The sequence below is a fragment of the Homo sapiens genome, chromosome 11 (genome assembly GCF_000001405.40).
Source record: "Homo sapiens chromosome 11, GRCh38.p14 Primary Assembly".
In the NCBI taxonomy this organism is placed as follows: Eukaryota; Metazoa; Chordata; class Mammalia; order Primates; family Hominidae; genus Homo; species Homo sapiens.
In genome coordinates, this window is record NC_000011.10 from 11,502,613 (window position 1) to 11,529,250 (window position 26,638).

The window sequence follows — 26,638 nt, forward strand, 5'->3', positions numbered from 1 at the left end:
CTGTTTTTAAGGTTAATCATTTGTTTGATTGAGGCCTCTTCCTCTGATCGCTTCTGTTAGCACATGAACAGCATGCCTGTATGAAATGCAAACATCCTCATTTGGCAGCCGCAGACTTTGCTAAATTATCCTTCCAGCTGCAGATAAGTTGTGACATTTGTAACAACTTGCCAGTCATGAGAGGCGTAGCGTATCCTCAGATAAATTCACGGCTGAATTCCTTCCCAGCTCCAGTCCTTAACGCTCTCCGAATGAAGGGCACTTTCCAGCCCAAGACACAAAATAGTTGAAAAGGAAGCACAGTCACTCATTTTCTTGGGATATTGGTCTGCCCCATACAGACACATTGGCCCAGATTGCAGTTCCCGTCAAAATGTTTGTAATATGTACACCAGGCAAGCATCTCATGGAAGAAGAGGGCTTCCTGCCCCACTCATACACACACTGACAGTCAGATCTCTACCCTTAGGACGGAGAAAAATAGATTCCTCTTCTCAAAAGCCACCCCTGAGGAAGTAGACGGATTTTAGTACAAAGAATCGTGAGTGGGGACCAGATAGTGAAGGCATCGGAGGTAATATGCTTTAGGAGGAACAGTGAGATTTTGGAGTCAGAGAAGCCTAATTCCCAGAGCCAGCTTTCCCACACTTATTAGCTGAGTGGTCTTGGATACATTATTTCACTTCTCTGAGCCTGTTTCCTCAGGGTTAATGTGGGCTGCTATGAAGCCTAGAAATGACGATCTGAAGGGCCTGGCTCACTGTTGTTGCTTGACAGAGAATAGCTATTGCTCTGATTATTATCAAAGACAGTCTAATCAGGTGCCCACCTCCACTGCAATTTCCAGTTTTACCTGTACCTGAATCCTTGCAGGGATGCTACAGCCTGCAGGTGTTCATCCATCCCATCATTTCACAAAGACTCCATGGTGCCTGCTCAGGCCAGGCCCTGCGCTAGGCACTATGTGTTCAGCCGCTAATAAAGTAAGCTCCCAAGAAGCTGAGTTCACTTGAGTGTGAGTTTGACAGTAAGAAAAGATTTCCTAATTTTGAGTCAAAACTACTACAGTGCCACAGTATTCCCTGCGGATTATGAGAAAGCTTCGCCACCTTCTGTGACCGTTCCAACTGTATATTCAGGCATCATCTTTTTTCCCCTTTTTGTTGACGTAAATGTACATACAGAAAAGTGCACCAAATACATGTGTACAATCCGATGAATTTTCTCAAGTTTAGCACCCCCATACAGCAATCTCCCTGGTCAAATCATTGCCAGCAGTGCAGAAACCCCTTGTTCTCCCTTCCACCACTACTCAACCAAGGGTAACCATGATACTGAATTCTAACAGCAAAGGTTCATTTAGTCTGTTTTACCATTTTGACATTATCTTTTAAAAAAATGATTTGTACTGGGTTCTTCTCTCTCTTGGCCTGAGCATATAAAAGCAAACACTGAATAGGTTTCCTTCTATATCATGAAGTTCTGCCTTTACACAGTTTTCTTTTCTGTTGAGCTCCTGAGGGCCAGGGCATGTGCCACAGAGCCTGCACATAGTAAGTGCTCAGTAAGTATGTGCTAAGTAAATGAATGATGGCAGGATCCCTCCATACACCCCAGCAAAGGCAGGATCAGAGCCAACAGCTGCAGGGCAGAGAGCACAGTGTACAAGATCTGAGAAGGAATTGCAGAGCAAAGTCCTCTTTTCCAGGTAATTCTGTCCCTCTGGACTGAATAGCCCTGGGCACACTCCTGACTCCCTGAAGTTCTAGTGAGTAACAAGCATTTTATTCTGCCCTCAAACATATTCATATTTTTCTTATTGAAAAGAAAAAAAAAACTTGATCACAAATAAATCAGGTCATCACCGGGCGTGATGGCTCATGTGTGTAATCCCTGCACTTTGGGAGGCTGAGGCAGGTGGATTGCTTGAGCTCAGGAGTTCCAGACCAGCCAGGGCAACATGGCAAAACCCCATTTCTATAAAAAATACAAAAAATTAGCCAGGCATGGTGGTATGCACCTGTAGTCCCAGCTACTCAGGAGGCTGAGGTAGGAGGATCACCTGAGCCTGGAAGGTGGAGGTTGCGGTGAACCATGATCATGCCACTGCACTTTGGCCTGGGTGACAGAGCAAGACCCCATCTCAAAATATATATATATATATTGGGTTATGGAACATTTAATGAGAGCCTATACTTGCTAGGCAAGAGGGGCAATTTACTGAGTGCCAATTATGTGCTGGGCATTCTGTTTGCCTTGGATGACTCAGAGATGAACCAAGTTCCTAAGATCCCTGTCCTTTTTCCATTTATTGACTGCCTCATCTGGGGAGGCACCCTTGCTGCTCACAAGTAGCTTCCCAGCTAAAGGAAGCTACAAGCACATAAACACACAACTGCAACATCAAAGTGTTGGAAGCGCTAGAACCCAGATATGTACAAAGTGCCATGGGAACATAGGAAAAGGAGCAAAGTTTAAAGAAAATGCCACCTTGAGGGGATGACATTTGAAGAGGGCTTGAAGAATGAGTGGAGTTCAGTAGATGAACACAGGGAAAGGATGTTCCAGGCAGAGTAAATGGCATGATATTTTGTAGTACACACACTCCAGGCAACTGGTTGTTTATAGCCAGTGTCTGCTATGATTAGTCATGGATTGGTTGTGAGATATTATGAATATCAACCTTAAGTAAAAACAAGAAGACAGGAAAGGACAGACCACACTAAGATAACAGTGTGAGTTACCAGATTCTTGAATCTCTATGAAGGATGGCAGGCAGATGGCATGCATACCAGCACTGACTCCTATGCCCACAGCAGATCCAAGTAATCAATCACAGCACTCTCTCCAGTGTCACCCAGAAACAACCTGCTCAGCAAAGAGCTCTAGGCCATCACCACAAAGTAATAGGAGCTGGCATCATCCTGGGTTGCATATTACAGCTTCCATTGCCTTACCACCTCCTCCCCCATCAATGCCACATCATCTGGATTCAGTCTCCGACATCCCAATGAAAGCATTCTCACTAAGATTTCCATTGCCTTCCTCCTCACCAGATTCAGAAGTCCCCATTCTGATTTAATACCACACTCGCTTCCTCCTGCAAACTCTTGCTGCTTCCTCCCTGAATCCAGTGTACCTGCTCTCTCTCCTTCATTTGCATGCCTTCAAGTTCTGTCTATGCTTTCTTCCCACTGTTTCACATCTGGACCCTTTCCACAGTAAATCCTCTAGCCCAGGCCTTACTGATCTAATCTCCGAGTCAGAGAAGCCAGCCATCCATCCTCACTCCTCTGAAAGGAAGTCATCCTCCCCTATGGCCTTCCTTATCAGTACAGGTTAGCAAGCATTTAAAGCTCAGCTCAGCTTTCAGGGACAAAATTATGTATTATTGAGGTTTCCTGCAGTCACCCTGCAGCAACTTGTAATGCCCAGAACCATCTGGCTGCTTTAGTCCTCGGGAGCCTCAGTGATGAAAGGCACAGCCAAGCAAGAGGGTGAAGCTACCAGTGAAAATAAAATTAAGAATTTATTTATCGATTTCAAACAATCTATGTCCCCAGAACTCCAGCATACAGCTCCTCTGGCAAGTGAATATAAAAAATGTACAACCAATACATGCATACACACCATAAAACCCCACATGGTTTTGCTAGGTCTAAGCTATTCATGTATTTTGCAAAAGAGAAACCACTACAAAATATTTAATATGTGTTCACTTCACAGGTGGCTTCTTTTTTCCTAAAGTGGGATGACTTCAGACCCAGGATAGTCAGGCAAGGATGTCAAATACACCATCTAGACCCTGTCCAGATGACTATACTTCCCCCAAATAGCTATGAGGGGGACAAGGAAAAGCAACTGGTGGTTCAAGCGTTTCGTGTGCAGGGCGACTTCCCAGAGTGCTTGCACTGAAGACAGTGCTCATCCCAGGCTCAGGCTTCCTGGAGTAGTGCTGGCCATGCATCAACCAGAACTATTGATTCCCGTCATTGCTATTTTCTGGTAGAAAGTGGGGTATTTGTCTTAGGTTAATTTTAAAAGGACTATGAGAAAGAACTGTGTTATTAGAAAAGTGAAGGCATGTGAAATAACTCTGAAGACTATGCTGCTTCCAGATACTGAGGGGACAAAACTTCCAGTCAATGGGCAAGAAAATAACTCCAAAGACCCAAGGAAGGTACAGCCCTGGTATCCTGGAAAATGTGCAGCTGCTGAGGAGGGTAGAGAGTTGGCCATGGAAAATGGCCAGCCTGTCCTCTCTCAGATAATCCTATGTCCCTTCCCAAACCACATTTTCACTTCTTCATCTTCCACAGTAGATGCCCCAGACAAGAAAAAGTACAGGACAAAACCCTTCAGGGTCGCTCCCAATAGAAAGAGCACCTGCAAGAAAGTTACTCTCTGGCAGAACACATTCCTTGTACACTGGGAACCTGAAAATGTGGGCAAACAAACAGAGGTGAAAGTGATCTGTGAGTTGGTTGGCTTCCTTGGCACTGTTATTCAGGATCATCACTTGGACACTACTGTTAAGTGAATAAGGAGTGAATTAATAAATGAATTTTTCTATTGTTAGAATTTCCACTTTTTAAGTCTCTCATTCATTCTAAACAAAAGGAGAAATCATTGAAACAAATATTGACTGAAGACTTACTTTATATCAGGAATATTTAATTATCATAAAAACCCACCAATGGAGATATGATTTTCCCTATCTTAGAAACATGGAAGCTGAGTCTCAGAGGAAAATTCTGAACTGAGTCAGTCTCCCAAACACAAGCCCCAGTGCATTTTCCTTTTTATTTTTCCTCCTCCTTCTCTTCTTCCTCCTCTCCCACCTCTTTCTTTTCCTCCTACTCTTCCTCTGCTTTAATCTCTTCCTTTTCCTTCTCCCCTTCCTCTTTCTTTTCTTCTTCCCCTTCCCTAACTTTTTAGTTCTTACATAGATCCAAGCTTTATATGCACAAAGATTAAAGTGTGAAATATTTCTACAAACCTTATAAAACATATATATTCCCTTTCTATAGGAGTATCCTGCTCCACCTCTGTGATGGTTAATATTTCATGTCAACTTGATTAGATTGAAGGATGCAAAGTGCTGATCCTGGCTGTGTCTGTGAGGGCATTGCCAAAGGAGATTAACATTTGAGTCAGTGGACTGGGAAAGGTAGACCCACCCTCAATCCGGGTGGGCCCCATCTAATCAGCTGCCAGTGTGGTCAGAATAAAAGCAGCAGAAGAACCTGGAAAGACTACACTGGCTTAGTCTCCCAGCCTACATCTTTCTCCCATGCTGGATGCTTCCTGCCCTTGAACATTGGACTCCAAGTTCTACCTTCGACCACAGACTGAAGGCTGCACTGTTAGCTTCTCTACTTTTGAGGTATGACGGCATTATTGTATATTACCATAATACCATATGATACCCAAGAAATTTAACATTGATAGACCTATTATCTAATATACATTCCATGTTTAAACTTTCCCAATTATCCAATCATGTCCTTTATAGCTCTTTGTTCATTTTCTGATTCATAATCCAATCTGAGCTCAAGCATTGCATTTGCTTGTTATATATCTTTTTGGTCTCCTTTGGTCTGGAACATTCCCTCTACACACATATACCCTTTTTTGTTTTTTAAATCATTGACATTTTTAGAGGATACGCTATTTGAGGTAGGAGATCTTATAATGTGAATGTGTCTGATTAATATCTCTTTATTAGATTCAGGTCAAAGATGTTTGGCAAATACTACATAAGTGATGTTGTGCTCATCCCACTGCACTCCATCAAAAGCCACATAATGTCAGTTTGCCCCATTATTGGTAATTCTAAGTGTGGTCACTTGATTAAGGTGGCATCTGCCATATTTCTCCATCGTAAAAGTACTTCATTCGTTTGTAATTAATAAGTAATGTGTGGGTGTTACTCCAAGGCCATGTGAATATCTGCTTCCCCAAATTGTTGTTGTTTTTTAGTCGCTGCAATTATTGTAATCCCTCCCTTACAGATTCAAGCAGTAATCAGAAGACAGAGGCATGGTCTTCATTCACTTCACTCTCTCTGCAAATCCCATTTGGCACTGGTTAATGATAATGAAGCCTTTGGCACTTTTTTCCTATAGATGCACTTACAGGATAGAACTCCATTTCTAAAATGCATTCCACCAAAGCACAGTGAAAGCAATTACCAATACTCAATTACTCCAGCTTCACTCCATCACTGTAGATACTCTTAAATGCTATGCAAGGGTGGTTTTGAATATCCTGAATGTGGAAATTGGTTTACAATAACAAAGAGAGGCTCAGAAATCTTTGATGGCTCCCAAGAACTACCCGATACAACCCAAACTCCTTATCTGGCACTCAGGCTCAACCAGATCTGGCCCCAGCTCCCACCCCTCTCCCATGACTTCCCTACCTCTCGGACCAAACTGAACTTTTCTCTTCTTCTTCTACACCCCCATGCTTTTCCCTTGCCCATTCTGAATCCTCTGTCTTGAATGCCCTGATTCTCATCTTTCACAAGTGTTTGCTAAAGAAAAGAAAAAAAAAAGCTTCCTCCTTTTCTGACTTCTCTTAATCTGTGACAATTAGGGCCCTTGGTATCTAAATGGCACACTGAGCTTGTTTTCAGAACATCAGTGAAGTTCTAATACCAAAATATTTTTGAAACAATTTGATATCCAAAGAAAGATTTTTTAAACATTTAAGTAGTTATCATGGGAACAATTAGAACTGCTGGAATTGTTTTTATATATTCATAATTTAATATATTTTTATTTTGCATTACATTCAGGAAAGAGGGGAAGGGAGCACTGTGATTCTTAGGACCCAATACATCTTAATCTAGCCTTGGGTGAAAACTCTAAGAACAGAATTGGTGTTATTTCTCCCCTAGCCCCAGGCCTAGCATCATGTGCTATGCATGGTAACTGCTCAATAAGTAGTTACTGAACAATGGAGAGAAAGCTTGGAGTCACATCAATTGTTTGTGCTCCTTTGAAGACGGAATGACTTTCCCCCCTCTCCATGCCTCCAGTCATTTCTCCCTCAGCACATCTCATCAGAAATAAATAGAGGCCTCAGCCCTTTGTGCCTAGCCACTGGCAGAGAGCAGAGGACTGGCCACAGGCCTTTGGCCACATGCTGGCATATCTGAATTCAAGACCTTCACTGCCCTGTGATTAACACATGCGCTACTCCATCCTCTGTGGGAAACTGAAAGATCCTGTTCATGGTGACAATTGGAGAGCAATCTCCCTTCTTTGGCTATATCTGGGGTCACTCCCAGCACCACGCAGAAAGAGTATTTGTATAAGACACAGCATCGGTGGTCACATCCTCTGAGAAGCCTTCTGAGGGCAGGACCTTCCAGCAGAGCACCCAAGGTCCCTGGTTACAGCATCAGAACACTCCAGACACTTCACTATGGCCCAGTGAGTACCAACTACATGCAGATGCTGGCCACAGCATGGAAAACTCAACACAAGGGAAGACTCAGCTGCAGCCCAAAAGGAGCATTACCACCAAGTCACAGAGACCACGCTGATGGATCTGAAGCACCCAAGATTCACACAAGGCAATGTGACATGAAGGGTGTGGAAAGCCTCACAATAGGAAAACCACCTTTAATGGGAGCCCATATTTTGCCTGGCACTAAAGTACACAAACTATTTTAACATCTGCTGTCTCAGTATACTCTCCCAGGGGCCCTGTGAGAAGGGCAGGTCAGAAGCATTAAATATGAAACCAGGTAAAGCTCCCTACCCTGGGTCGTCTCTGTGATAAGGCCTCACCATGTTCCAACCTCTATTCAGGTCACTTCTGCAAACCTTCCATGAGTACAGCTCATTTCCAGGCCTTGTACCAGGCACTGGGCATGCAGAAAGTCCCTTAGAACACAAACTATATGCAAGGCACTCATGCCTTTAGAGATGCATTCCCTGCATTGGTGGTATAGTGGTGAGCATAGCTGCCTTCCAGAGATGCATTTCCTGGGTCTAACCTGGGGCTCAGTGCAAGAAATAGAAATGAAGGTGCCTGCCTTTAAGGAGTTATCCAGCTACTGTGCCACTTTTCACACCACCTTGTGTGACCTGTTGGCCCATCTATCTTTTCTTCTAGGCTGTGATCTTCTCTAGAAAATGGGATCTCTGTGACTCCAGGGCAAATCTCAGGGCTGGGCACATTGCAACATCATTTCAAAGCCAGGCTTCTGTGATAGTGGACAGTCCCAGAGCTCAGCCCTATATATGCATTCGCTGAGCTCCATCCTCAGGCTTTCAGGCTGCAGGCCTTCCTGACCCAGACTTCTGTGTACCACCTCTACATGCCTCTCTGTAGCTCTAACATGAGGATGGTGCCCGGACAGACACAACCGGCACTCTTTCCTCTCGGCGGGGCGTGCAGCTGGTACCGCCTTCCACTTGACTCCTGACAAAGACATGCAGCCTGCCAGGTGATGCAAGAGAGGGCCAGGCTGCAGCTGAAGGCCTTCTCTCCCGGGGGTTGTAAAAACAGGCTGCCCCTCCTTTTGGACTGAATGAGGTTTCTCGCTGTGAATAATGGCATTGAAGTATTCAAGGGCTGCATTCAGGAGCTGAATCATGGAATCCCAGCCAAAGAATCTGCTGAAGACTGAAGGGACCGGCTGTCCAGCTTCACGCAGGGAGGGCTCCTTGAAGCTAATTACTGCCACCAGGCCCTGGTCTCAGACCTTACACACTGGTCTGCAAAGAGCTACAGCTCAAGGTTGCTGTGTCCCCGCAGCCAAGGCTGAAGCATGACCTAGCCAGTCCCCTACAGCTAACAGAGCGACCCCATACATGTGATCCCCAGAATAGGCCCCAGACAATCCTGAGGAGACCTGGCTAATGCAGTGGTTCTTTACTTCTGAGCCACTCACCCCTCAGAAAATCTGAGAAAAGGCTTGGACTATCTCTCCAGAAAATGCATACATGTGCACACTGTGTTATGGAATGAAAGCTTCTGTTTCCACTAAAATTGATAGGTTGGAACCTAATCCCCAGTGTGATGATGTTTGAAGGTAGGGCCTTTGGGAGGTGATTGGATCATAAGGGTGGAGCCCTCATCAATGGTATATTGGTGCCCTTCTAAGAAGAGGCCAGAGAGCTCTCCCAGTCTCTTTTTGCCATGTGAGGATACAATGAGAAGTTGGCAGTAAACAACCCAGAAGAGGGCCCTCACCAGACCCGGACCACACTGGTACCCTGATCTGGGACTTTCAGCCCCCAGAACTATGAAAAATCAATTTCTGTTGTTTGTAAGCCATCCACTCTATGGTGCTTTGTTACAGCAGCTCAAACTGATCAACACATATACATATGTATATGTATGCATACCATCATATGTATACACATGTCTACATATATACACACATACATATGTTTACATGTATACATATACATACACAGAGTTACTCCCATAATTTTTACACATTCACAGATTCCCTAAAGCCCATCCAGAAGTCTAAGTTAAGAATTCTTTATTAAAGTCACCAAAGACGAAAGCCAATTTTTCCATCTGAAACCGCCTGCCCCCATGGGTTCAGGGCTGAGCCGTGTCTCCTGGGCAGGAGTAAAGGGTGAATTTAGCCCTAGGTCCAAGTGGCATGTGACCTCACACACAGTGTGGAGAGCAGTCTGTCTCATGATGGCCTGGCACTCTTGACCCCATCTCACAGCTGTCAGACTCCGCCTGACCCAGATCCGCCAGGAGGACAGACTGTTTTTCCTTGTGGAAATAGTTCATGGTGCTTGTCATTTACAGATTCTCTCTGGATTTCACTCAGAGATGGAGGAAAGCATCCAATCCTGTGGAAATTCTTTATTCTGAGTGCGGCAAAGAATTAGGAACAAGATGTGAAAGGGGGTCTGACCCTTATTCTCACATATATGGGGACACACACAGGTACACACACATAGTTTCTTTCTGAGCCCAGTGCTGTGACAGTAAATCAGCCATATCTACATTATAGCTCAGCCCAGCTCAGACCTTATCCAACCTAATTTTAGTGACAGGTTCTTCATCCAAATTGGCAGTTTGCACAGGGACTGTGTTTAGAAGGTGCTACGGAGAGTCTGGCGGCACCTGAGGCCTGGGCTCGTTATGTGCCTTAACACAGTGGTATTACCATGCTCTGCTACTCTCCTAACCCATCTATCACATGGACACCAGGACACACGGGTGCTGCCTAGAAAAAGGATGCCTCTCGACAAAGTCCCATAATGACACTAACTCCTCTCATCACTCAGGTGGCCCGTGTGTGTGATCTGTGTGTGTGTCTGTGTGCGTGGTACCTGTGCGTGTGCATCTGTGTACTTACACATACAGGCATGAAAACAGAAAAGGCACTGGATATTAAGTACAGATGAGACTCCATGTAGATTTCCCAACAGACAGACCCAGAACAACAGGCACCCCTCCCTTCTGGACCACAGAAATACATCTAGGGGAGAAAAGGGCAGCTGGATGAAGATGAGCTTGTAGTGTGGAGTCACGGACACTCAGACCTGGGCTCAAGTCCAAACTTGAGTGCTCACTCCCTGTGTGACCTTAGGGAAGGCACTGCATGTCTCTGAGCCTCAGTTCTTCTTCTGTAATATGGGAATCATAAACCTCCCTCCAAAGGCTGGCAGCAACAGATACGAGGCTTGAAGAAAAGGAATTAGCACAGTGCTTGGCACATTGCAGAGGGTTGATAAACATCAGTTGACTTCCTGTCCCTTGCTCTGTTCTGAGCAACTCCTGATTGAATCATTTTGGGAGAATCTGACTCTGGTTTTTCAACCCTCCACTGGCCACAGGGTCTATCTCTTTCAAAGACGTGGGTTGTCCTTCCACATCCCACAAGAAGCTGAGATTGGCACATCTCAAAGAGGACTTAGGCAATAAAACTAATAAAGCTGTGCTTCCCAGAATGGAAAGCCTTGCCCCATACCTCTGCATTATGATTGAACTTTGTCTTCTCTGCCAAGCCTCAAGCTCCTGTTTTTCAAGTAATCCAATCTGTTTTGTTCAAGACAAAGGACAAGAGGATTTTATGGAATGAGAAGTCAGTTTATTTCCCGGGACGTTTACATAGGTCACAGTAAAACAGTTTTATGTCTCCAATGACATTTCTTCTGGGACTGTTCAGGGGGAACATAATTTATTTATTTATTTTTTTTGTAAAGCTTTAAAGGTGGTTGTTCTTTTGTTGTAAGTGGGACTGAAATGTGTTTCTAGGCAGCTACAGGGAACTCACTCTGATGGGACTTCTAGGAAAAAAGGCACAAGGCTTGAATGGGTCACGGGTGGAAAATGGGGCAAACTACTGGTGAGCAGCTCAGACCCTGAGTGCTGGTTCCCCCCAAGGGCCAGGAGAAGCCACTGGGAGTGAGGGGACCCTGTTGCTGTGAGATGCCTTGTGATTACAGAGGAGGAGGCTGGAACAGAGAAGGGGGCTTTCTAAAATACGCTCACTTAAAGAGAAACTTGGACCCAAACCCATCCAATGATTCCCACATCACAGAAGAGGAAACTGAGGCTCAGAAACATGAAGTCACTTATCTAAGTCACACAGGGAGTAAGTGTTGGGGCCTATGCTTAAACCATATCTAGGTACTGGAGCTCCAAAACCCATGCTTGCAATTGCCTGCCCCAGGCTGGCCCTGCAGGGAAATCCCCTCTGAGTTGCAGGCAGAGGCTCCCCATTTGGAATAGCAGAAATGCTTTCCTTTACACAGCAGAATTCCTGAAGCCACCTCCAAGGAAGCAGCCTCCCTGAGCACTCCCCTTGTAATGACAATGGATGGCAGGCCTCCCTTGTGGCCAAGGGTCACCAATCCTGGCATCTCTGAGCGTGAATAAGAACAGCTGTTACACAGAGGAATCAGTTTTCTAAATGTGAAATTTCACATTTCCCATTGCTTGTCACCCATCGGATTGCAGCCACAAGCCACTAGTCCTGCGACCCCTTCCTACTCTTGCCCTACAAATGGAAAACTCAAGGAAACCATCAGTAGTTCAAATAGACTTCTACTTTTGGCCTGCCAGCTGACCTGTGCTCCCAGCTGCTTCCATCTGGCTGCTGGTAGAGGGACTGGAGGTTACAGAAGAGGCTGATGGCACCAAGACAGACTCAACTGAGTGGCAGCAGAGGCAGGAGCAACCAGAGCAGAGCAGGCTGGAGCCCAGAGCCTAAGAAGGTCCCAAGAGTGAGGGCAAGTGAAGGATCTGGACCAGGAGGCAGAGGTTTGGTTGCTCATGGGAGGATGAAGGACCAGGAATCCAAAAGTGGACCGAAACCAAGAGACAATTTAGCCATGGGAAAAGACAGATCCTATGAAGGAGAACAGCCATTATTTATCAAGAGCCAACTGTGCACTACGCTTGTGTGGTCCAAATGAGAGGCATTACAGAGGCCAGATCCAGAGCCCGCATTCAAGTTTTGAATCTGCCACTTTCTAGCTGCGGGTCTTTGAGCAAGTCACTTCACTTTTCTGTTGGCTCAGCTATGCACTCTGTAAACTGAGAATAGGGGCCTCTCCTAAGATACCATGAGAATAATATGAGGTCACCCTGCAAAGGGCTTGGTACTAGGCACAGCAAATGACCCGTACTCAGTAAATGTGGGCTATTAGTATGAGTCTTCACAACCCAAGAGCCAGGAATTGATAGTCCCATTTTATAGACAAATAGATTAATACTCCTGTTTTACAAAAAAGGGCGGGGGGGATGGGGAATTCCTGGAGGTTCGGATACACCCTAGGTCACACACCTGTGACTGGCAGACACAGGTTGGAACCTAAGTCTCTGTGTGCCCCGATTCCCCCTGCTCTCTCTGTATGCTGCCCACCTGTCAGCCTCAATGAGCAAAACTACATACCCCCTGCCCTTGTGGGGCTTACGTTCTAGTGTGTGGGCAGAGAGGGACAACAAAACAAATAAACCCACAATGATGAGATGAGTCAGGTGGGCGATAAGTGACACAGAGAAATGGAGTTGGGTTGGGAGATAGAGAAGGATGGGCCACGGGCTCTCTGATGGCGGTGGCCAGGGAAGGCCTCTCTGACCAGATGAAACCTAACCAAAGACCTGAACACGGGAAAGGAAGGAAGCCTTGTGGCTGTCTGGGAGGAAGAGCATTCCCAGGAGCAGGAAGAGCAAATGCAGAGCCCCTCGTGGGAGCAGATCACTGGGCAGGAAGGAAGGGCCCTGAAAGGCCAGGTAGCACGGCCCCATGAGGGAGAGAGGTAGTGGGAGGAGAGGTGGGTCCCTCAACGGGAGAGAGGCAACTCAGCAAGGAGCCCATGCAGAGCTAGAGGATCATAGTTTCTGGGCGGGCCCAGTCACCTGCAGGATAAGTGACAGGTGAGGTCCCTGAGGAGCTGGGATAAACAGCAGGGAAGCAGTCTAGGAGTATATGGGGCTGGGCCCTGAGTGTGACAGGGACAGCAGTGAGATGGGCCGTCACCACAGCCGCCTTCTAGCCCCTGATCAGGCACAGGGCCCTCAGAGCTGCTAAGTGGGCCCAGCTGGAAGGGAAGGATGTGTAGGGACAGGGAGCACAGTCAACCTATACAATGTAAAACACTGAAGAGCAAACACCTTTAGACACCCTGAAAATCAAAGGAATTTCTCCCAAATAGCCCATCCCTGGAATGTTGGAGCAAAGAAGGCCTGGACTTAAATTCTCGTCTCAGCACTAAGTGGCCTTAGAAAATTCCTGGTTGGGCACAGTGGCTCACACCTGTAATCCCAGCACTTCAGGAGGCCTAAGTGGGAAAATCACCTGAGGTTGGGAGTTCGAGACCAGCCTGGCCAATATGGTGAAACCCCATCTCTACTAAAAATGCAAAATTAGCTGGATGTGGTGGAGCATATCTGTAGTCCCAGCTACTCAGGAGGCTGAGGCAGAAGAATCACTTGAACCTGGGAGGCAGAGGTTGCAGTGAGCCCAGATGACACCATTGAACTCTAGTCTGGGCAACACAGTGAAACTCCATCTCAAAACAAAAACAAAACAGAAAAAGAAAAGTCCTGTAACCCCTCAGAGTCTGCCTTTCCTCATCATTAATAAGACCCATGCTGCAGGGGCACTGTTGGGGCTAGACAGGGCCAAACACCCAGAATGTGCTGGCACATAGTAGGTTCTCTACTATTGGTTACTGTTCCCACTCCTATTAGGACATATGGATGTGCTAAAGCTAAGGGGTAAATCATGGCCACGGCTGACGCTAGCTGACTGAGCTGCAATATGTCCAGTGCAATGGACTGAATGTATATGAACCCACAAAGTTCATACGGTGAAATCCTAACCCCCAAGGTGGTGGTACTAGGAGGTGGGGGGTGATTAGGTTATGAGGGCAGAGCCCTCATCAATGAGATTATTGCCCTTATAAAAGGAATCCCAGAGAGCTCTCTTGTCCCTTCAGCCATGTGAGGACACGGTGAGAAGATGGCTGTCTATGAACCAGGAAGAGGACCCTCACCAGACACTGAACCTGCTGGGGCTTTGATCTTGGACTTCCAGCCTCCAGAACTATAAAAAACAAATTCTTTTGTTTATAAGCCACCCAGTCTACAGTGTCTTATTTATAGCAGCCTGAACAGACTAAGATACCCAGATAAGGTCAGCTGTGTAAAACAGGCCAGGTGGACACCATTATACTGCAAAGGCAATTAGACAGCTCAAGTGAGATCCGAGATTCAGCCTCCACCCACCCAAACCTACTGGGATTCTGAATCCTGTTAGGACTAAAATATCTTTTAATTGCCTGTAAGTACAAATACTTTCTTCCTCCTGGGAAAAAATAAAGAGGGGGAAGAAAGAGGATGCATAGCAATATATACATCCACACATGCACATATATGGACTTAATTTAATCAATTGAAATGCATATTTGTGGTGTGTTAGTTATCCCCAGAAAACTAAAGAGACCCTCACATTTAGCCCTGGCATCCCTGCTCTGGGGCTGTACAGATCTGGCCTGTTCTAAATAATATTTAAAAATGAGTGGTTACTCCCCTCCTTATCCCCTTGCGAGACTAGCTACATAGATGAGGCCGCAGAAACAGGGCCCCTGCCACAGTGCTCAGTCCCGGTGGCCTGTCCTTGCTGAGCCATCTAGGACCATCTCTTCTCACCCCCGTGGTCCCTACCCCAGCCCCCAAGCTTCAAAACCCACTCAGAAGAAGGCTTGACAAACTATTCTAACCAAAGTAAGAACACTGATAACCCTCCAAAATCATGTCCCTGAGAAAAGAAATCTGCAATTTCCCATTATTACCAGCTTCAGCTAAAGGAATGAAGCCATAATGGTGCATTGTAAGTCATCCTGGGAAAAGTAGGCTTTCTCTATGCGCCAGTGCCTACCCTGGCCTGGTTAAAACGTTCTGTCCCAAAGGTAGAGCTGTCATCCTCCAGCAGTCTCCAAGGTGGCAGAGCCCTAAAGATACCAGCAGAAGAGTGTCATCCTCAAACATAAAACCAGGCTGCAGAGAACTTCACAGGACACCAGGCTGACTTTGGGCTTGGCTGCACAAGACCTGCCTGTTCCTCAGCTGAGTTCCCTCTCACCAGCCAGCTGAAAGCCCTTTCTCTGGTGCCCAATACAGACACAAACTGCATTTCATGGCTGAAAAAGCCAGTGATGGGATAAGTAGTGTTTGTTATCTAACTAAATTGTAGAGGAAATGATGTGCAAATGAGAAAATTTTAACACAACCGTGGATCACTTCTGACAAGTTCGATTATGGTTTTGTTTAGTTAAGCACTTGTGCATTCTAATGAATTGTCCTATGGAATTATTAATTGGACCTGGGATTTCTAGGGCTTTCCCAGTGCTCTGAATCCTTCCTAGTAGAGATGATGTACCTTTAGGTGTCGTGGTTACCAGGGTTGGTTTTCTACTAAAAAATCTGAGGGTGGAGTGCAGGGCATGCCAGATCCTGGCATCTAAACCAAAACAGTGAGGGTTGCTCTTGGTCTTCCCAAAAGTTAGAAAGACACAAAGATGCAAATTCTTGAAAACACACGGACATAGAAAAAGACAGATTTGGGGCCCCTGTGGTCTCTGGCTTTTCATTAAGAAAGGATTCTAGTTGAGAAGTAAGTCAGAACCAGTAGATCAATTATCCAGGAGCAAAGTGTTAGTCATAGAAGATGGGGAGGGAGCACTGGACCCACCAGCTTCTCTAAGTACACAACAGAAAAAATAGGAAGAGGCCCCAGGGCCATGGTCCTCAGAACATCCTGGTACCTCCTCTCCTGGCTGTGGCTATGCCAGCACTGCCAGGCTTCTTCTGTCCCCTTTCCACTCTAAGGATGATGCTGTGGCAGCTAAAAGATCATGCCAGCCTCCTTGATGGAACCAAACCCAGATCTTCTCCGGCAATGGAGATGCCACACATAAAGAAGAAAGAGCACCCAGTCCACCCAGCAGTACTAGGTGCAATCGATAGACTGTGCCCTGCATCTGGGCACCTGGGGATGAGGGAGGCTGCAATCTAGCCCACACCCTGCTCGCCAGGCCATAAGCCCAGGGGATGCATCAGCCCAGAGGGGTGTGGATCTGTCAGGGCCCCAGCATGAAATTTCCAACTGAGTTTAATTTAAAAACTATTTACAAAGGCAGACAGTATTAAGGAAAGTCAACAGAGGTAGAGGCACCCTTGGCTAGCAAAAGGGGGGAGCCATTACCACATTAGGCCTGAAGGGGTCAAGGGAGAGAGTCCTTCCAGGAGCCCAGCAAGAGCTGTGGCTGGGAGCATTGTTCACGGAAGAGCACAGCCACTGCCAGATGCCTCCACGGCCACGCCCACCTGTGAGCCAGAGGCATGGAAGCCTGTTTGATGCAGTCCGTAGAGATCAGCCTTCTGGGACCAAAAGCAGTGTTGGGAAAGGTGAGGAATGGATGTGGAGGGCAAAGGGAATCCTCCTAGGCCAGGAACCCATTCTCCATATGGGCCAGCCAGGGAAAGCCTGATTTGCATCTTTCTTTCACTCCCCCATCAACTGCCTTATCTCCCCTCGGAGAGCTCTCGTGGTCCCACTGCTGCCACCACCTTCCAGGCACTCTCCCATTCCCCTGTCTCAGCCCCATCTCGCCCTGACTGCAGGAGCAACCAGGGGAAGGAGGGACTGGAGCCCATCCATGAGACTGCAAGCAGGAAAACCTGGAGGCCTGCTCTGGGAACCCACCCTCTCCTACTCTTGCTCCTAGCAGGTATATAAAGTCTGTGGGTAACGATGGGCCATGACCACAGTGTAAGCAGCCAGTGACTGTTCCCAGTGCCTGACAGAGGTGGGTTTTTATGTCCAAGGAGCGACACTGGATCAGGTCTGCCAGCCAAAGACCCGGAAGAGGTCACCAAAGGAGGGGTCCAAGAGCTAGAGGCAGCCAGGGTGCAAACAGCTGGCACTGGGGAGCAGGAGCACAACCGCCTTCCTCCCCTGTGGGTAGGCCCCTGGAGAGAGTCCCTGGCCAGTGCCCTTGGGCGATGTTTTTAACCAACAAGCTTGTAGCGCTTACTGCATGCCCTGCAGGCACTGTTCTGAAGGCTTTACAGAGATTTCCCCCATTTAATCCTCAAAAGAACACCATGAGGGAGGTCCAATTATTTTCTCCATTTTAAAGATGGGAAAACTGAGGCACAGAGGGCTTAAATAACCTGCCAGATCACCCAGGGAGCAAATGGTAGAGCAAGATTCAAGCGCAAGCAGCGAGGCGCCTGGGTGTGTTCTCTGGCCTGCTGAGCTAGTGTGAGCATGCCCACTGCACCCGTCAGCCACAGACACAGCCCCTGGGAAGCAGCCTGCTTCCCATTCCCCTGCCCCAGCATGTCAGACATCTCTGAAAAGATGTTCCATGCCACTCACCGAGCAGACCTGAACAGTCCCAGAGATGACCTAGGGCCTGTGTGGCGTGCAAGGGGATGTTGTGGGCTGGCTTCCTGTGAGGCAGCCTCTGAGGTAGAGAAGGGCAGCAGGACGCTGAGTAGGGAGAGCTCTGGGGACCCACACCTCTGGGAGCAGGAGAAAGCTAGATGGGGCAGAGGGAGAGCCAGGCTGCAGCACAGTGCTGACCACGATGGGAGGGTTAAAGATGGGGTGGCCTGCACAGCTGTCACAGGCTGGAGTGAAGGAACCCCTTCCTGGTCAGGCATTTCCTGTGGATCAGTCCGGGGAGGGGCGTGGGCCAGGCAAGGCAGTCCCCTCAGCAGGAGCACCCCATAGGCAGCTGAGGCTTCTGCAGGCCCTACACCAGCATGTGGGGAAACTAGTCCTGCATTCCTGGCAGGGATCGGGAAGCACATCGCAGGGTCCACCGTAGGGAGCCTTAGAGCCCCTGGCTGGCCTTCCACTGCTGTCTAGGAAGGCTCCCCGTGCCCTTGTTCCTGGCTACCTGGCTGTATCCTCCAGCACACATCTCTCACTGGGGCTGACAGCAGCCACGGGCTGGCAATTCCTCAGGGAGGAAAGCTTTAGGAATCTCGTATCCTCTTCCTTTCCACCCAAGGCCCACCACCTCCTGGCTCTCTTTTGTGCCCCATAATGAGCCCTGAATTAGTTGACACCTCCACCTCACTAGCGAGCTAGAAGTTCTCTAAGGATCTTAAAGATCACCACTATCTGGATACAAACAGGGGTACAAACTAGCAAACATTTTTAAATTACAAGAAAGGTAAAACCTTGGAAAGTCTGTCGGGAGCTCTGGTGACTTACGGTGTAAGCCCCACCTGCTAGAATGCTCAGCCCACTCTCTGGCCACCAGCTAGACTCACTCCTCATCCCTCATCCTTTAATCCAAGTCAGTGACTCTCTAAGTCCCTTCATAGTGACTTGCTCTCCAGTTCTCGGGACGCTGCAGGCCTTGTGAAGAGCCAAACAGATGCTCAGGAGGTCAGAGAGAGTTCTGATTACACCACGGAAGAAACTCGAGGCCAGGCAGCCACTTTCCTGAGCTCCAACTTCATTCCTGAACCGTTCAGTCCTCTTATTCACTATCAGAAAATGGCAGAGAAGATTACAGTGGCGGGAGAACAAAAATTGCTCAAAGCCACCTTCTTCCTAAACATAATTTACAGTACAATGACAGTCACTTCCGATGAAGCTTATGTGAAGGGAACGGAGGTGACTCAGGCGAGCCCACTCAGAAACCCAGCCCACACACCTTTGGCCAGGAAAGGAAGCCAACACGCACTTCACCATAGAGTCCCAGGGCAGCCAGAGCCAAATGGGTGGCTGCACCTGTTCCTGCAGTAATGTTGGCCCTACAGGGACTTTCTCGCTTTAACCCCATAAAGGAAGCACAGAGACCAGCTGACCCCAGAGAGGCCACTGTCAAGAACACTTTCCTGAGGCCCAAGAAAAGGGAAGAATCAAATATCAGACACAGCAAGTGACTTACAAATGGAGAAGACCCTAGAGCCATGTCAGCCACACTGGGGCGGGATGACTTCTACCCACCCTAGGAAGGAAGGAAGGAAGGAAGGCCCTAGGAGGCCCCAGGCCTCTTCTATCCCAAGAATCCTCCCCCTGAGGTGCTACTCTCCTCCTACCTCCACATGACCTCTCCTCATTCTGGGGAATAACCATCAGGTCAAACACACATCGGTCCCTGCCCTACAAACTCTATGCCCCATCTCTGAGAGACGGCTGCCCAAACTGGAAGCTCTTAAGCTTCCCTGCATCCCATCCCTCTTTCCACACAACTTCCAGTGGCCGACAGGACTTAAGGCTAAGAACGGGAATGGGGCCAGGCTTCAGGGTCCTCCCATCAGAGGGAAGGAGGGGATGAGAGTGTCCCTTGATTTTTTGTAGTTGTTTCTGACCCAAAGCCCTGCCACATAGCACAGACAAGAGATGAAGAATCATGCCCACAGAAACACGCAGCCCTGCGTCAGCTGTCCCACCACCACTCAGCTCAACAAGCAGAGGGAAGACCTCTGACTGGTCCATGCCACATGCCACGCTCCTTGGGACCACTGCAGAAGAGCTCAAAGCCTGCTAGAATCCTGACACAAGCTACTGTGACTGGATTTTTTTCTGGATGTTGAAACACAAAAACAAAACAGACAGTCCACTGTATCCACAGAACTCAAGATGTCTAACAGTCTCAGTGTGGCGGCTCCTTCTCCACCGACAAAGACACTTGTCACGCAGCTAGCTGTGCACAATCTGTGCCACTTGTTTCAGAAGTCTGGAGCACACATTTGCCACACAGACAGCATGGGTTAGACTAGCTTCCTATTCAAATCTGGGTTTACAGTCTCCCCACCCTTACTCTGAAATTCTCTTGGAGCACCAAACATGAAACTTCTTCCCCTGTCCTCAGATTAGGCAGATGAGAGTAAAGTAAGAGACTGAGCGCAGTGCAGTCCACTAACAATTCAGGCAGAGGCTCTCCCTTACAAACTGCTTGCCAAGAAAGTAGCAATTTACATGCTTTTTCTTATTACAAGCCCTTTCATTATGTCCGCAAGATCAATTCCATCTGAGTGAAGGTCTACAGTGCTATTTTGAGCCAGGAGGTCTGCCTTCCAGTTTTGCCACCCACAGACATTATGAACTTGAGAAAGTCATTTCACTTTCTTTCAAAGAACTGCAATCAGAATAGGTCCTGCATGCCCTCCAAGTACAGCATCTCTTTTAATACAACAGCTGTTTGAGGCAAATCTTGTCACTCTCACAGGTGAGGACAATGTCACAGGTGAGGAAATGGAGGCTCATGGAAGTTAAGTAGCTTGCTTGCTCTGTGCAGAGGTAACCGAGAGCTACCTCTAGAGGTCTTCAAACTCAAGAAGTCTGGTTTCAAAGCTAATGCTCTTAAAATTCTTACACCGTGCCACTTTGGGAGGCTGAGGCGGGTGGATCATGAGGTCAGGAGATCGAGACCATCTTGGCTAACACAGTGAAACCCCGTCTCTACTAAAAATACAAAAAATTAGCCAGGCGTGTTGGTGGGCTCCTGTAGTCCCAGCTACTCGGGAGGCTGAGGCAGGAGAATGGTGAGAACCCGGGAGGAAGAGGTTGCAGTGAGCCGAGATCGCACCACTGCACTCCAGCCTGGGCAACAGAGCGAGACTCCATCTCAAAAAAAAAAAAAAATATCGTACACCCTGCCTCCCTGGGAAAGGAGGTAGGACACACGGCTGCAAGCAACAGCAACAGCACTGGCTAACATGGGTCAGAAGTGAATTAATTAAAGGACACTGGGAAGCTCATGGAATTGCCAAGAGAGGTAGCGAACCAGGCTCTCAGGTCACCAAGAACATCACCCCAAATCTTATTACTTCAGTAGAGGACCCTCTGGGCACTGCCAATACTGTGGATACTGGGCACTGCATTGCAGCTACCAGCACCCCAAGAACTCAAGGCTCCTGGCACTTCAGCTAGTGCGAGGTACCAGCTCTTGATTCAAAGTCTTAAATCAAATACTTGTGACTGATGTAGCCCAAGTCATAGACCTGGCCCTAAATCCAAGAAAGGCTAGAAATCACTTATCTAGTAGAAGCCTGTTCTGATCAGCCTCTCTTCCTACCAAGACTCAAAAAGTAGGGAATTTCCCAAACATAAGAAGTGGGCTCAGATGCTAGGTGGCCCAAAATGACACATGTCTAACAAATGAGGAAATTGGAGTTCTTCAAGATCCTTTTCAGCAGCATGACTCTATTTAATTTCATGGATTTCAGCAGAGTATATTATAATTCTCATTTATCTGCCCTCCTTCTCTGTGAAATATTACACATAGTTATTTATTACCATTGCCTTGCAGTATCCCTCCATCCTATGGGAGAATGGTTTCTCAATAACACTGAGCTTGAACCTGTAACTTGCTGTGATCAATGGGATATGATATAAACTAGGCCCTAGCAGAAGCTTTAGGAGCCATTGCATATGGAGGCTCTCACTTTCGTTTTCTCTTCCAGGAAAATGGTGTGTTCCAAATAGGGATTGGTCCTTCAGCCTGTGCCTCAGAATGGGAAGACACGTGGAACAGAACCTAGCAGAGCTGTGGCAGCCACAACTGACTCACACAGTCTCCAACTTTAATGTGAGCATAGAAATAAGTGTTTCTTATTCTAAGTCACTGATTTGGGGGCGGGAAGCTGTTTGTTACAATAAAACAGACTGATACACATTTATGGAGAACCAGTCCATACCATTGTCTAGTGAACAAACGAAATGTATAAGTAAATAGGACTCAGTCTCTGCCTTCACGACATTTGTCTGTGTCATTCTTGAATCATAGCTGGCAGAGAGTGGAAGTGTTTTAAGGGAAGCATAAACACAAGCTCTGAGAAGCAATAGGAAAGGAGAGAGAGATTCTGTCTGGGGTTTCCAGGAGGCTCCCAGAGGATGCAAAACTCAGACTGGATCTTGAAGACTAAGTCCAGGGTTATCAGAGAAGGTTGAAGAGAAAGGAGGGGATTTCATGCAGAAAAACCAATATACAAATTCAGAGAGGTGCAAGAAAAAAAATACATATATATGCATGAATACATTCTGGTGTTGCCGGAATATAGACAGGGTGGGGAGGAGGAGAGGTAGGAAAAACAACGAAATGGAGGAGATTTCGAAAGGCCCAGAATGCCATCCTAGCAATTTAAACATCACTCTCAAGGAAACGCGAATGACTGAAAGTTTCCACTGGATCCTTACCTTCTAGGGTAATAGAAATATTACCCTAGAAGTGGTAGAATGGAGGTGAATGAGAAGCAGGGAGCTCAATGAATAAGAAAGACTGTTAGATGAAAACCAGTGCCAGATGATAAGGTCCTTATCTGAAACAGCGATAGTAAAAGCAAAAAAGTTCACGAAACATTTCAGTGGCGAAATCGGTAAGACTTGATTGGATGAGGTTGAGACAGGGAAGAATGAGTAATACACAGAATACAGGGCTACTGATTTTATCTAAATGGAGAATGGAGTCAGTTGTGGATATGGAGGAGGTAGGAAGGGGAACAGGTTTGAAGAAAGCTGATGATCTGGTGTTGTGCATATTACTTTTTTTTTTTTTTTTTTTGAGATGGAGTTTCGCTTTTGTTGCCCAGGCTGAAGTTCAATGACACTATCTCAGCTCACCACAACCTCCACCTGCTGGGTTCAAGCAATTCTCCTGCCTCAGCCTCCCGAGTAGCTGGGATTACAGGCGCCCGCCACCACGCCCAGCTAATTTTGTAATTTTAGTAGAGACAGGGTTTCTCCATGTTGGTCAGGCTGGTCTCGAACTCCCAACCTCAGGTGATCCGCCCGCCTCAGTCTCCTAAAGTGCTGGGATTACACTCATGAGCCACCGTGCCCGGCCACGCATATCACATTTGAGGTGTCACTGCAACATGCTAATGGGGGTGACCAGTTGGCAATTGGAAGACACGGAAGAAACTTCCATCTGCCTGGAGTGGGGGAAAGGTATGAGAAAGGCTCCAGAGGCAGTGTAGACATTTGCTGTAAGTATGCTAGGCGTTCTCAGGGACAGGATGTTGGAAGAAAAGAGAGCAATGGCATTTTAGGCAGGCAGTCAGGGATGTATAAAGCCATAAAGGCAGGATGTCATCAGGGAAGACCAGGAAGTTAGATGTGGGTGGAGGGAGGGAAGCCAGTATCGGCTTTTCCATGTAACAATTTCCCGCAAGCCATGGGCCCGGCCATGGATCAAACATTTCTGTGAGTGACAGACTGTTTGTGTGATGGTAGAATAGCACGACTTTGTGAATAAATTCATAGACTCTTACAAGTAGACTCCTGGAGTCTTTGATGTTCCTTTAAAAATGCAGCGCTGGTCCCTTTCTGGCATGTATAGTTACTTCTTTCATTGTCTTTCTGCTATAAAAACCAGAACATATGTAGTTATTCATGGAAGTAATAAATACATCATTCTTTCTTTTAAAAATATATTTCTTTTAAAAATATAGTGTATTTGTCAGGGGAGAGCTGGTTATATTGCAGTAACAAAAACACCCCAAATACCGGTAGCTTATATCACAAAGGCTACATCTCAGGCTACACGTCCATCAGGATCACCTAGGATCTCTGCTCCTGTGTCATCATTGTCACCCTTACATTGGGAAAAGAGCTGCTAGAATACCTGTACCATTGACCATTGAGCATATATTGGCTCTTAAATTTTCCACCTGAAAGTGACATGTCACTTCTGCTCACATTTATTTAGCCAAAATAAGTCACATGGCCAAGTGTGAAATCCAGGGAAAGTGGGGAATATTACTCTCCCGCAGGAGCACAGCAGCTGTCAGTGAACAGCAATCCAGTCGAGTCCACGCCACACTCTAAGATGGACAGGTTCCTCAATGTCTGTGGGAGTCTTGCACCTAGACTATGACAATTATCATCTGATGTGGGTACCCTCTCTTGAAGGAGCCCGACACAGGGAAGATGCTTTCTCATTTATAAATGCATTTCTCCAGGCCTTGACACCAGATTGCCAATGACCTTGGCATTCCTGGCCAGGAATGTTTCCTGTCTAGGTCTGTACTCCCTGCATAGTGATCCTTCCAAAAGTCTTCATTGTCTTGAAGGCACCCCCCAACCCCTGTCCCCTGCCAACTCTGCACTAAGGATGGAGACGAGCAGCATCTGCTTCTGCTTCTACAGTAGCTTTTCTCTGCATGAAGAAAATCTGGCACAGAACCTATGTTTCACTATCTAAGACACTTTTTTGATCAAATGTCCCCATGGTCTGCTGTTGGATTGGGGTGTTTCTTTTTACCCCTGCAGATACTTGTTTGCCTTTCGAGTCTCTGGGCTGATGCAGTCAGCTCATTCCGGTACAAAACAGGGACAATAATTATTATTCTTACGTGGTTCTGCAATTCACAGATTTTTCCTAAGTAAATGTCCACATGAGCTTTATTCTACAGAACTGTAAACAGATGCCACAAAGCAGTGTCTCTGCCACCAAGGTTCACCAATTAGAGGTACCAAGCCATGAGCAATGGCCCATGAAATATTTAAAATTCTTCAAGATTAAATATATATTATACATTTTTAAAACCCTAAGTCTAAATGTATTTATAAAGCCAGATTTTATTTTCCATGTTCTGCTTTCTAGAACAGAGCTCTCTGGGCATAACAAATTCCTCCCCTCAGTCTTGAAGAGCCCATCAAAGCCAGGCATCTGCAATGAGCTGTTTTCTATTCATTGCCTGATGGACATCAATTATTCTCTATTTTCTTAAACTGTGAATAGTAAGAGACTGTTAAACTCAGGCACCCTAGCAGGAGACAAACAGCAGAGGCCCTGCCACTGCCCAAACCACCAATACCTCTAGATGCCAGGCAGGCTGGCAGCTGGATATTTGCTGAGCATTTCTGATATACCAGATACTGTGCTAAGCACTTAGCATGGGTTATCTTATTTAATACTCATAACAACTCCATCACATAGGTGCTGTGATTACCCCCATTTTACAAAGGAGGAAACTGAGTCCTAGAGAATGTTACGGAAAGACAGCAGAGAGTAGGTGACATATGAATAGAGTCTTAGAGGATAATTGGAAATTATTCAGGAGTTCAAAAGAGGAAGGCCACCCAAGCAAACTGAATGACATGGATAAAGGCATGGAAATGCAGAATAATATTGTGTGTTTGTGGAAACGTATAGACTAGGAAGGCTAAAGCACAGAGTACTTAGGTAGAATTGCCTAAAATTCCAACTAGGAAGGTCAACTAAGGCCAAATTTTGACGGAACTCAAATGCGGTGTGGAAGAGTTTGGGCCTCTTACTTCAGAGACTAGACAAGTAACCAAGGAGAGAAGTGGGCAGGTGTAAGACAGTAAGGAGTTGTGAGGACTGTGGCAAACCAGAAGGTACACACCTTCAGCTGTAAAGGCAATCAGATTCTTTAAGTGTGAGCTGAATTTGGCCTTTAGGGAATCAGCTTGCAAACTCTACAAGGCAATGAGAAGCTGATAAGGGGAATTAATCAGAGACTGATACTGTCAGATCTTTTTGTTAACAAATCTCCCTGACAAGCATGTGGATGATGGGCTATGCGGGGCAAGACTGAGAACAAGGGAACCACCAAGGAGGTAGATGCAGGAAAGTAGAAAGACATGATGGGAGCTAGGACCTGGGTGATACCAATGGGTAGAGAGAGAAAAGTGATAGATTTGAGAATGGAATATTAAAAAGGAAGAAACTGGCAGGACTCAATTCAAAAAGGATATAGGGGAAGAGGGCATGGGAGTTTCAAAGATAATGCCCAAGCCTTTGGTGCAAACCATGGGGCAAAAATTTGCTGTTAAACCCAGGGAGTGGAGGAGTGAAAGATAAGAAGTGTCATTTCAGATAAGCTGATGGGCAGAGTTTTGACATTCTGCTACTATGAGAGGCCCTCAGGGCTAGTGTGGGTCTTGGCCAAGACACCTTGCTAGCTCCATGGTCGAATGACTAAAGGGTCCATCAAAGAGAACAGCCTCTTCTGTATTCCAGGGGTTTACCAAAAGTTCCAGGAGGTACTACTAGTGCCTTCCCTGTGTTTCACCAGGATACCCATTGATGCATGAGGTCACCAGGTACCAGATGTGATTTCATGTGTCAACTTGTCTGGGCCATGGGGTGCCCAGATATTTGGCCAAACATTATTCTGGATATGCTTGAGGGTG

General features: G+C 46.7%; 1 protein-coding gene across 6 annotated transcripts in view, besides 1 other annotated feature; it reads right to left on the minus strand.

Moving 5' to 3' along the window:
* GALNT18 (polypeptide N-acetylgalactosaminyltransferase 18) overlaps positions 1–26,638 on the minus strand; it is a 351,129-nt gene that overhangs the window by 231,736 nt on the left and 92,755 nt on the right. The window lies entirely within an intron of this gene.
* Positions 6,723–7,224: an enhancer, noted in NCBI's record as "NANOG hESC enhancer chr11:11530882-11531383 (GRCh37/hg19 assembly coordinates)". NCBI's record gives its function as "activates a minimal SCP1, AML or CMV promoter by ChIP-STARR-seq in naive H9 embryonic stem cells {active_cell/tissue: H9 hESC(naive)}" and the evidence as "EXISTENCE:reporter gene assay evidence [ECO:0000049][PMID:30033119]".